This window comes from Homo sapiens, chromosome 21 (assembly GCF_000001405.40).
Source record: "Homo sapiens chromosome 21, GRCh38.p14 Primary Assembly".
NCBI classification, from domain to species: Eukaryota; Metazoa; Chordata; class Mammalia; order Primates; family Hominidae; genus Homo; species Homo sapiens.
In genome coordinates, this window is record NC_000021.9 from 32,921,694 (window position 1) to 32,934,461 (window position 12,768).

Sequence of the window (12,768 nt, forward strand, 5' to 3'; positions counted from 1 at the left end):
GCATAGACACACTGATAGGTAAAAAATGAAAAAGAATTTTAGATATAGAACGTCTTTTCTCCTCTTCTCTTCTAGTCTGAGTTCAAATCTCTCCTCTTCTGGCAATGTTTGGTCTTCCCTGGACCATCTTGGAGAGCTGAGAACCCTAAAAGCAGCACCAGCCTGCCCACCAGGGGGCAGCGCACGCACCATGAGGTTGTTCACTGGGCTTATCAAGATCTATCTGGCTAGGGTTGTTTTCCAAGGATTGGGAAGAATCGCTTCGGTCCTTCTTTGGAATTTGCTCTGAAGTCTTCTTCCCTTCATTGCTCCTGTTAGATGCTCCACAACAAGTGAAGAAATGAGGAAATAGATTTCTCTTCCCACATTAAAGCAAAGTTAATAAAATGGTCATGGGCACTGGAGAAGTCTTTGGCTTTGGTTTTGTTTATGCGATCATTTTTATGATAAAGATAGGAAAGGAAGAGTCCCAAAGCCAAGGCCATTGAGAGGAGATGAGTGGGGATTTCCACTCAAGGATGGCGAGTTGAATGCAGGGGTTAGCCTCCAGTCCCTCCTGAAACCCCACTAAAGCAACAACAGGGGAGGTATTTTGGAAGACATATAAACCTACGGAATGAAGAGAACAGAAGCAATGATAATAGCAATAAAATCTGAAAGTTTGGAAAGCAAATGTAAGTTTGGTAACTGTGATGGTGAATATTAGGTGTCAACTTGATGGGATTGAGGGTGGCTGGTAAGGTATTGTTTCTGGATGTGTCTGTGAGGGTATTGCCAGAGGAAATTGACATTGAAGTTGGTGGGCTGGGAGAGGAAAACCCACCCTTTATGTGGGTGGGCACCATCCAATCAGCTGCCAGCAAGGCTAGAGCAGAGCAGACGCAGAAGGAGAAGGTGCAATGAGCTGGCTTGCTGAAGCTTCTGGCCCTCCTTCTTCTTCCCATGCCAGACACTTGCTTCTGCTCCTCCTGCCCTTGGATATCAGACTCCAGGTTCTTTGGCCTTTGGACTCTGGGACTTGCATCAACAGTTTCCCTGAGGGTTCTCAGGCCTTTGGCTTAAAGGTTGCAATGTTGGCTTCCCTGGCTTTGAGGTTTTCGGACTTGAAGTGAGCCACTACCAGCTTCTCACTTTCCCCAGCTTGCAGATGGCCTATTGTGGGACTTTGCCTTGTAATCATGTGAGCCAATTCTCCCTAATAAACTCCCTTTTATATATACATGCATCCTATTGGTTCTGACCTCTGGAGAACCTGGACTAATACAGTAACTGATGCAACAGGGCTGAGAAAGCGGAACCATAAGCAGCCAGTGGGGCAAGCTAAAGTCAACCCAGTTGCTCATAAACTGGTGACACCAGAGACCTATGGAAGTGGGAATCAAGGTGGATCTACAAGCAGAAGGACAGATTAAACATCCTTCAGGTCCTTTTAAGAAGTAGTTAGATCTCCAGCCTTCCTCGCTTATTCTTCGATGTCAGGCGAGAGAAATGTTCGCATTCCAAACGTTGAGATCACTGGTCATTTTCCTGATCATGTTTCCAGAATAATGGTAATAAGGACTATAGCTTCCATGGGAGAGCCGTGAAGCCTTCACTGCAGCTCTTCCAATAGTATGAGAGGAAAGAGTCATACATACTGCCATCCAAGATTCCCCAGGGAAACGGCCCAAGCAGGTCACTGTGCTGAAGCCCAGACAAGCCCCATGTAAATGCACAGAGCTTACCATCAGCTGTTAGTGACCCATTATTCAATACGGGGAGATAGTTAAAGACCATTTGGTATTTGAGAACAGCCTCTAAGGCAGAACCAGAGAAAGGTGGAAAGTAACTCAGAGCTAACATAAGTTATAGAAGCTATGAAGGGAGAAGAAATGTTTAAAAATTATTAATCATTACTATTCTAAGAATAAGCTATTGCATCCATGGAATAAGAATAAGATACTAATTTTATTTTTAATTGACAAATGATAATTGTATTTATTTTATGAGCTACAAGGTGATGTTTCAGTACATGTATACATTGTGAAGTGATCAGTTCAAGCTAATTAACATATTCATCACCTCAAATAGTTATCATTTCTTTGTGGTGAGAACATTTAAAATCTACTCTGTTTCCTATTCTTAAATATAATGTATATTAACTATAGTCACCATGCTATGCAACAGATAACCAGAACCTATTTCTCCTGTCTTTGTACCCTTTGACCAGTATCTCCCCTTTCTCCATTCTCCTTTTCTCCCCTGCCCCAGCATCTGACAATCGCCATTCTTCTCCCTGTTTTCATGAATTTGACTTTTTAAGATTCAACATATAAATAAGATCATGTGGTGTTTCTGCTCCAAACCAGTTCTCTCGAACTTAGCCAAATGTCCTCCAGGTTCATCTATGTTGTAGTAAATGACAGATGTCCCCTTCTTTTTTTTAAGGCTGAGTAGTATTGCATTTGTGTGTGCGTGTGTGTGTATAAAATATTTTTTATATCAGGCACTTTGGTTGTTTCCATATCTTGGCTATTGTGAAGAATGCTGCAGTGAACATGGAAGTGCAGACATCTCTTTAACATACTGACTTCAGTTCCTTTGGATATATACCCAGAAGTGGGGTTGCTGGATCATATGATAATTCTATTTTTAGTTTTTTCAGGAACCTCCATACTGTTTTCCATAATAACTGTACTAATTTACATTCCTGCCAGCAATATACAAGGGTTCCTTTTCTCCATATCCTCGCCAATACTTATCTTTCAACTTTTTGCTAATAGCCAGTTGAACATGTATAAGGTAATATCTCATTGTGGTTTTAATTTTCATTTCTCTAATGATTAGAGATGTTGAGCATTTTTCATATATCTTTTGCTCATTGTATGTCTTCTTTCGAGAAATGTCTATTTGTCTTTGGCCATTTTTTAAAGGGGTTATTTGTTTTCTTGTTTTTCAGTAGTTCGAGTTCTTTGTATATTTTGGATGTTAGCTCCTTATGCAATGTGTAATTTGAAGATATTTTCTCCCGATCTGTAGGTTGCCTCTTCACTCCACTAATTGTTTCCTTTGCTTTGCAGAAGTTTTTTTAGTTTGATGCAATCCATTTGTCTATTTTTGCTTTTGTTGCTTGTGTAAGATACTAATTTTAAACAAACATTCAGAGAACAAACAAAAGTGCTTGGAAACAGGAGAAGTAAAAAAGTTAAGAAAATCTCTCAGGATATAGAGTAAAAACACGGAAAATAGGAGAGAAGAAATAATGAATTTATAGAACCACACCAGAATGTCAAACATCCAAATATGGAAAGTAGATTTAGAGACAATGGAAGGCAATTTTCCAAAGAAGCAATTCATGAAAACTTCCCAGGTATCAAGTTCCTGAATCAAGTTCCCAAGGTATCAAGTTTCACAATTGTACCTAGCACTATGGATGGATGAAAATTTATTCACTGAGACAAATCATTGTGAAATTTCATCATGATGAGAATAAAGAGAAGATCCTACATGTTTCCAGAGAGAAAAAAGATAACATGCTTTATACAAAGGATCAACAATCAGAATGTCATTGGACTTCTCCAAAGCAATATGGTGGAAGACAACAGAGAAATATTTCACTATTTGAAGAAAAAATATTTCTAAAGGCAGAATTTTATACCCAGCAAAACTATTAATCAAATGTAAGGGTATAAAAAATAGGTTTTCAGACATTCCAGGCCTTATACTAAAGCTATTGGAAGTTTTTTTTTTTTAAATAAAAAAGGAGTAAAATTTTAAAAGAGGAAGATGTATGGTCCAGGAAACAGAGACTCCATCATAGAAGGGAGGTGAAGGAAATCTGCACTAATATAATAACTGCATAGTAGACTTATAGGACAACAATCCAGAAGGTTCCAGAAGAGACTGCTTCAAAAAGATGGAATTATTGTGCTTGAACAAATTGAGAGGAGGGCACAGTTTGGGGACAAATGATTAAAACAAACAAAAAAAATTGTCTTTGTTTATAAAAAACAAAATATCTACCTATATGGATTAGAGAAAGTAAGTCAGGTAAAAAAGGGAATTTTTAACCTCAGGAAAAGCATAAGTTGTTCAGAAATGGAAAAATAAATGTAGTATTTATGGTTCAGTGATTCACAGTATTTAAAGAATTATAACAATGTAAACATTGTTAAAAAGTAAATTGAAGCTGGTTGCTCCAGCTTACCCCTGTAATTTCAGTACTTTGGGAAGCCAAGGTGGAAGGATCACTTGAGGCCAGGAATTTGAGACCAGCCTGGGCAACATAGCGAGACCCTGACTATACAAAAACCTTTTTTTAATTAGCCAGGAGTTGCGGTGCACACCTGTAGTCCAGCTACTTGGGAGGCTGAGGCAGGAGGATCCTTTGAGCCCAGGACATTAAGAATTCAGTGAGCTATAATCGTGCCACTGTACTCTAGTCTGGGTGACAGAGCAAGATCCTGTCTCTAAAAGAAAAATAAAATAAATTGAAGCACAACTTTAAAGAATATATTTGAGCAAACAATGATTCATTAATCAGACAGCTCCAAACGAGGAGTATTCAAGAGCTCCACCAACAGACCACAAAGCAGGAGACTTTTATAGGACAGATACAGAAGTAAAGCAAAGAAAAATTTGATTGGATATAGTTATCCAGTTGCCTTATTTGGTCTATGTCCGTTAGTCCATTCTTGCATTGCTATAAAGAAATACTTGAAGCTGGGTAATTTATAAAGAAAAGAGGTTTAATTGGCTCATGGTTCTGCAGGCTGCACAGGAAGTGTTGTACTGACATCTGCTTCTGGTGAGGCCTCAGGAAGCTTCCACTGGTGGCGGAAGGTGAAGAGGAAGCCAGTAAGTCATATGACAAGAGCAGGCATGGCGGCGGGGGAGGAGGGCAGGTGCACACACTTTTCAACAACCAGAGTTCACGTGAACTTATAGTGAGAACTCACTCATCACCAAGGGGATGGCTATTCATGAAGGATTCGCCCTCATGATCCAATACCTCCCACCAAGCCCCACCTCCAGCACTGGGAATTACATTTCAACATGAGATTTCGGTGGGGACAAATATCCAAACCATATCAGTCCCACTGGAAAATCCCTAATTAAATAATTACAAGTTTTTGGCTACTTCTGATTGTTTGGGCTTAAATTATGTTTTTCTTTAATACAGGCATTTGCAAGAAAAATCTGAAGTTAAGTTTTGCTTATGTTTGCAATCAAGCAAGGTTTAGGTCACTTAAGAGGCCTAACTTGTTTTGTCTGCTCAGAGATTCTTCAGGCCTGACCTCCACTTTAATTTACTTGAAGAGCATCGAATATGAATCTGCAGAATTTCAGTGAAACTATAGAGGAAGAATGGAGGTAAGGGGTGTGTGTGTGTGTGTATGTGTGTGTGTGCGCCCACAAGCACTTGTGCATGCTCTTGTGTGTATATGTTGTATGTTATGTGAAACAGTAAAATCCTTTTTTATCTGTAGAGGAAGTCAATGTTCAATGCATAAGATGAAAACACCAAGAAATAGTAATGAAGTCATGTTATTATAGATATATGGATGTAAATATCAAAAGAATCCATTAAAATGAAAGTGATTGCTTTAGAATTAGAAAATGGCAGAGGGAAAATGGAGAGTTGAGGAACTGCTCTCTATCATAAGCTTTAAATCTATCTTCCTGGGCATGGTGACTCACGCCTGTAATCCCAAAGTTTTGGGAGGCTGAGGCAGGAGGATTGCTGAGCCGGGAGTTTGAGACTGGCCTTGGCAGCATAGTGAGCCCCCATCTCTACAAAAAATAATAATAAAAAAAAAAACTAGCAGGACATGGTGGTGCATGCCTGTAGTCCCAGCTACTTGGGAGGCTGGGATGGAAGGATTGTTTGAGCCTGGGACAGTGAGGCTGCAGTGAATCGGGATCATGTCACTGCACTCCAGCTCTGGGCAACAGAGAGAGACCCTGCCTCAAACAAACAAACAAACAAGCCAAAAATACCCACAAACAATCTAACCCTAAACTCTGTGGATTTACAACTTTCATTTTAAAAAATTTTAATAAAAGGAAGAGATCAATGGTCAAAATTATAGAGTAGTATAGCAGAATGAGAATTAACTAAAAATCACTTCCAGGGACCAGCAGGCTACTATTTGGCAATGGAACAGTTCTGGGTTGGTCCACCCTAAGTGCTAGAGTCTGCCTCTATTCTAGGTCCCTCCTCAGTACAGGACAATTTGTTTCATGAAACTACCAAGTTGCTTTGTTACTATATATAAAAATTATTCAGATTTATCACGTCACCACCCGCTATGAGAATTTACGCAACAAACACCGAGCGCTTGCTTCTCAATGCCTCTTTCTAACGTTGTGTCTCTATTTCTTGTACCATCTCCCCCCACCCACCCTGACACACATTAAATCTAATCAGGGTGTTATCTAGATTTCAATACAAGTTTGACAAGTAGACAAGTATATGAATAAGAGATTAACACAAACTCAAACTGCCCCATGTGTCCTGTCTTCATGGAAATTAGCTTGTAAAGTCAAATGAGTTGGTTTTTCTTTTTCTTTTCTTTCTTTCTTTCTTTCTTTTTTTTTTTTTTTTCGGAGACAGGGCCCAGGTTGGAGTGCAGTGGTACAATCACAGCTCACTGTAGCCTCGACCTCCTGGGCTCAAGCAATCCTCTTGCCTCAGTCTCCCACGTAGCTGGGACCACAGGTGTGTGCCACCATGCCCAGCCAATTTTTGTATTTTTTTATAGAGACGGGGTTTCACCATGTTGCCCAGACTGGTCTCAAACTCCTGCACTCAAGTGATCTGCCAGCCTCAGCCTCCCAGTGAGTTGTTTTTTCTCTTTGTTCTCACATCATCCCTTTCTCCTTCTTGCATATCCCTAAGTTTAAGCCCCAGGTTATGCCGCATCTCCTTGATGAAGTCTTTCTGATCAGGGTCGGGCTTCCCAAAGATAACTTCTTCGTTCTCTCTCACCCTCTTACTGAAAGGCACCAACAGCTCTTCTTAGCAATGTACTGAGTGCCTGGCACTTAGTGTTGTTTACTTTATTGTTCCAAGCTCCATCTGGGGGCAAGCTCCCCAACTGAGACATTATTAGTACTCCCTGCATCTACGAAGGACTTCGTTGGAACTTGTAGATTTGGCTCCTGAAACCACACAAAATAAAACAAAATCCTGAACATGCCTACATAAATATGCACAAAAACACATTCAGTTCCACTGAATGGTTATTTGATGAAATTGAAATTATTTTTCATTCTTCAGGCATGACCATCATTTTGTTTAAATACAGACTTCTTATCTTTTAAAGGCATATACTAAATATGTACATATGAAATGGTATAATGTTTGGGATTTGCTTCAAAATAACTTGGTACTTGAAGAGAACTAGGTGGCAGTGTAAGTAAAATCAGAGGGCCAGGAATTTCTGCTTTTTGTGGCCCAAGGATGGGTAAATAGAGGTAATTTGTGCTATTTCCTCTATTTTTAATTTGTTAGAAATTTGTATAATAAAATATTAAATACATAAATATATATTTATATCTAAGATATAATTATAATAGATATTAAATATACGTAAGTACATATATATGCATTCAATTATGGAATAAAGAGTGTTTGACCTGGCCGGGCGTGGTGGCTCATGCCTGTAATTTCAGCACTTTGGGAGGCCGAGGCAGGTGGATCACGAGGTCAGGAGTTTGAAACCAGCCCGGCCAACATGGTGAAACCCTGTCTCTACTAAAAATACAAAAAATTAGCCAGGCATGGTGGCTGGCGCCTGTAATTCCAGCTACTCGGGAGGCTGAAGCGGGAGAATCACTTGACCTGGGAGGTGGAGTTTGCGGTGAGCCGAGATCGCACCATTGCACTCTAATCGGGGCGACAAGAGTGAAACTCCATCTAAAAAAAAAAAAGTGTTTGACTTTAATGAGTTATTACTTCCTGGCTTAACCCCTTTTACTTTACAGAAAAGACATAAAAAAGTGAAATTACTTGTCTAAGTTCACAATAATGGCTGACTGTGACAATGCTGGGCCTAGACTTCAGATCTAATCATTCTAAGTGTAGTGGACTCGGAGATAGCTGAGATAGAGGAGGTGGCGGGGGAGAAGTGCTAACTGCTTTATTCTCTCATCTGAAAGCTTTAAGTCTGTTAAAAATAGAACTTGCCTAGTCAAAGTAATACTCTCAGCTATTATTATTCAATTATACCTTGGTGTGAATGAGTGTGACATCCTTTTCTGAGAAATAACCCATTAAAGAACCACAGAGGAGAAAAGAGTAGAGGCTGGAGAAAGTGCAGGACTTGAAAGACAAGGAGTCTAACCATACATTTTATCTACTCAAAATGTAGAGCAGATGCACCAGAAAATATTAACAGTGGCTATCTCTGGGTGTTAGGATAAGAGTTGCTTTTGTTTTGTTTTAGTTTTTTTATATTTTCCAAGTTTTCTGCCTAATACACATATTACTTTTATCATTCATTCTTTGTTATCTAACACAGATTTTTTTTTTTTTTTTTTTTTTTTTTGAGACAGAGTCTTCCTCTTGTCACCCAGGCTGGAGTGCAGTGGCACAATCTCAGCTCACTGCAACCTCCACCTCCCAGGTTCAAGCAATCCTCCTGCTGGGATTACAGATGCCCACCCCCATGCCTGGCTGTTTTTTGTATTTTTAGTAGAGATGGGGTTTCGCCATGTTGCCCAGGCTGGTCTGGAACGCCTGACCTTATGATCTGCCCACCTTGACCTCCCAAAGTGCTGGGATTACAGGTGTGAGCCACCGTGCCCAGGTTTTGCCCCAACCTTTTTGGTACCAGGGACCAGTTTCACGGAAGACAATTTTTCCATGGATGGGGTGCGGGGGGATGGTTTCAGAATAATTCAAGTGCATTACGCTTATTGTGCACTGATTTCTATTATTATTACATTGTGATAGACAATGAAATAATTATACAACTCACCATAATGTAGAATCAGTAGGAACCTGAGCTTGTTTTCCTGCAACTAGGTGGTCCCATCTAGGGGTGAGGGGAGACAGTGACAGGTCATCATGCATTAGATTCTCATAAATAGCAGCAATCTAGATCCCTCGCATGCGCAGTTCACAATAGCGTTCATGCTTCTCTGAGAATCTAATGCTGCCTCTGATCTGACAGGAGGTGGAGCTGAGGCAGTAATGCGAGTGATGGGGAGCAGCTGTAAATACAGATGAAGCTTGGCTCGCTTGCCTGCTGCTCAGCTCCTGCTGTGCGGGCTGGTTCCTAACGAGCAAGAAGAAACCTGGAGGACACTTTGGTTTCATCAAGCAACACTTGCCACCAGGAAGGCGTTGAGTGCCAATTCCACACCCAATACCCCCAGGTAGAGGAAGTCTTGGGCCTTGGGGTTTGCAGTCTAGTTTCCTGGTAGTGTCTGTCATGGGGCTGAAGACCAAGCTTCGTCTTCATGCTAGACTTTGCCCATTTGGATATTTCATATCTTGAGAGGCAAAGAGAGCTTCTGCAATGTTTGAGGCCAAAATTCAAAGCAGAGCCAGGCCCAGGAATCCCATCAAGCAAGGCCTGTTGCCCATTCTGCTACGATTCAGATAACTTTTGAGAATATAAATGGCTCCCTGGGCCACTGTCTTAATCTTTCTATACCTTGGTGAGGCTTCTGTTAATGGTAGAATCTAGATGAAGGATAGTTTGGGCCACTTCGTAAATGTGGGTAGTGATCTTATTCAGATTAGATGATTTTGTTCAGATTAGGATGCCAAAAGTCTGGAACAAGGCAAGACCAGAAAGTCTGGTTAGGCAAGAGGCAAATGGTTTAAAACAGAGACCTTCACAATTTGGCAAGCTTTTAAATTACTTGGAGTATGCAAAATACAGTTGCCTGGACCTTACCCGAGACCCACGGGAAAACAACAACAACAACAACAGGGCAGGTTCCATGGATCTGTGCCGGGCTATTCCCCCAGAGAAATCAGGGAAAATTATAGATGTCCATAATTCCAGACAGAATTATAGGTCCCTGAGCTTGGTTTGCTGAGATAACATGTTGCTTTTCTCTCTCTCTCTCTTTTTCTCTCTCTCAATGTCTCTCCCTTTTCAAAAGTAGATGTCACCTTTCTGATCCAATGCTTGATTGCTAGCTGGGCTGAACCAGAAGCATCACGTCTAGTTAGTCTAGATGTGGATGCAATTCAGTAATCATAAACATTAGAGCTAGAATATTGTAGGTAATTGATGTAACCAAATGAAGAACCAGAGACCCAGAGATGAAAAGTTCCTTGCCCAGATCTGCAAACTCACATCCAGGTTGCTCCCTGCCTACCCTCATCTCTTACAAGCCAGCATCCTTTTACAGCAGACTGTGGGCCCCAAAGCACAGCTGTGGACAAGAGGGCACTGTACATTCACCCCAAGGTCTCAAGGCCACCAGGGGCTTGGTCAGCGTTTGTGGTTGTGGCACTTCGCATTTGCCTCTTTGAGGGCTCCCAAAAACCCACTTCCTGGCCGGGCATGGTGGCTCACGCCTGTAATCCCAGCACTTTGGGAGGCCAAGGCAGGCAGATCACTTGAGGTCAGGAATTCAAGACCAGCCTGGCCAACATGGTGAAACCCCATCTCTACCAAAAATGCAAAAATTAGCCAGGCATGGTGGTGGGTTCCTGTAGTCCCAGCTACTCGAGAGGCTGAGGCAGGAGAATCGCCTGATCCCAGGAGGTAGAGGTTGCAGTGAGCCGAGATCACACCACTGCACTCCAGCCTGAGCGAGAGTGAGACTCTGTCTCAAAAAAAAAAAAAGACAAAACCCACTTCCTTTCACCTTAGCACCCTAATGAGTAACAAGGAAGTTCAGAGATGAGTTCCTTTGCCCCAGCCTCTGCAGCAATGTGTTTTGAGAGCGCTGGGCTCCCTCGTGGTGCAGAGAGGGGACATCATCTTGCAGTGGACTTTCACAGCAGACCACACCTAAGAAGCAAAAATCCAGTCCATGTAGAGTGCATCCTCAGGCTCTAGGGGCCCATGGTCCCCTGTTCCTTGCACCATCAGATAGTCCCATGTGTGGGTCGCTGGCCTTGTTTCTGGTACCTTGCAGGGAGACCAGGCCAAGTGTGAAAATCCACCAGGGCCCTTTGCAAGCCCAAATTGAGGATTTTGTGGCCGCATTAAAATGCCTTTCTCCTTCTGAAAAAGGATTAGATGCAACAAAGTGCTTGAGCCCTCAGCGCCTGTGAAAAGAAGCCCAGTCTCAAGTGTTAAGCTCGGATTCCATGCAGCCTCCGGCAAAGGCCTCGTCAGGAAACAGCCCTGTGTGGCTGCAGCTGCTCAGATTCCAGCGCTAGGGTTGATTTGCACCAGTCGCGGGGGTAGGGGTGGGGGCAGACCAGATGTTTTAAGGAGATTATTGCCTGAAAGCAAAGCCAGTTTTCCTGTGTGCCACCCACTTCTTTTTTTTTTTTTTTTTTTTTTTTTTGAGACGGAGTCTCGCTCTGTCGCCCAGGCTGGAGTGCAGTGGCGGGATCTCGGCTCACTGCAAGCTCCGCCTCCCGGGTTCACGCCATTCTCCTGCCTCAGCCTCCCAAGTAGCTGGGACTACAGGCGCCCGCCACTACGCCCGGCTAATTTTTTGTATTTTTAGTAGAGACGGGGTTTCACCGTTTTAGCCGGGATGGTCTCGATCTCCTGACCTCGTGATCCGCCCGCCACCCACTTCTTGAAGGTGATTTTTTTACATAGTGCCACCAAAACTGGTAGGCGTGGAAACAGGAGTTTACATCTTCTGAGAGCGTCCAACAGCCTCGGCTTCAGGCGCCTTATCTTATTTAATCATGACCATATTACCTCTGTTCTGGGCTGAATTGTACCCCCAAAATTCATATGTTGAAGCCCTAATTCCCCATTACCTAGGATTGTAACCATAACAGGAGATATGGTTTTTAAAGGGGCAATTAAGTTAAAATGAGGTCATATGAGGGGACCCTAATCCAATATGATTGGTGTCATTATGAGAAAAAAAATTAGGACACACGCATACACAGAGGGAGTCCATGTGACAGCACAAGAAGGTGGCTGTCTACACCCAAGGTTAGAGGCCTTGGAAGAAACCAGCCCTGCTGACACCTTCATCTCAGGTTTCTAGCCTCCAGAATTGTGAGAAAATAAAATCTGCTGTTGAAGCCACCCAGTCCGTGGTATTTTGTTATGACAGCCTTAACAAAATCATCCAACCTCCATTTTACAGATGGGTAAACCAAGGCTTAGCCAAGTGAGTTAACTGACCCAATGGTATATAGCTCTTTTTTTTTTTTTTTTTTTTTTTTTTTTTTTGAGATGGAGTTTTGCTCTTGTTGCCCAGGCTGGAGTGTAATTGTGCAATCTCAGCTCACCGCAACCTCTGCCTCCCGGGTTCAAGCGATTCCCCTGCCTCAGCCTCCCGAGTAGCTGGGATAACAGGCATGCGCCACCTTGCCTGGCTAATTTTTTATTTTTTATTTTTACTAGAGACAGGGTTTCTCCATGTTGCTCAGGCTGGTCTAGAACTCCCAACCTCAGGTGATCCGCCCGCCTCGGCCTCCCAAAGAGCTGGGATTATAGGAATGAGCCACCGCGCCCGGCCGGTATGTAGCTCTTGAGTATCACGGGCCCAGGTCTGATTTGTCTGATTCCAAAACTCTTATGTTTAACCCCCTCATTAACTGCCTGAAGAAGGGAGCCGGGGGACAGAATTCTAACACTCCCTGGGCAAGAGTGAACACCTAGGCTTTATGATGCTTTT

General features: G+C 42.4%; 1 long non-coding RNA gene across 1 annotated transcript in view, besides 1 other annotated feature; it reads left to right on the forward strand.

Annotated features, from left to right (window-relative positions):
- LOC105377136 (uncharacterized) overlaps positions 1 to 10,442 on the forward strand; it is a 52,432-nt gene extending 41,990 nt beyond the window's left edge. Inside the window, exons 5-6 of the long non-coding RNA XR_937669.3 lie at positions 5,259 to 5,352; positions 9,159 to 10,442. This is a non-coding gene — a long non-coding RNA (uncharacterized LOC105377136). The remainder of the gene's footprint in view (positions 1 to 5,258; positions 5,353 to 9,158) is intronic.
- Positions 10,931 to 11,010: an enhancer, noted in NCBI's record as "active region_18366". NCBI's record gives its function as "activates an Ori minimal core promoter by ATAC-STARR-seq in GM12878 lymphoblastoid cells {active_cell/tissue: GM12878}" and the evidence as "EXISTENCE:reporter gene assay evidence [ECO:0000049][PMID:35858748]".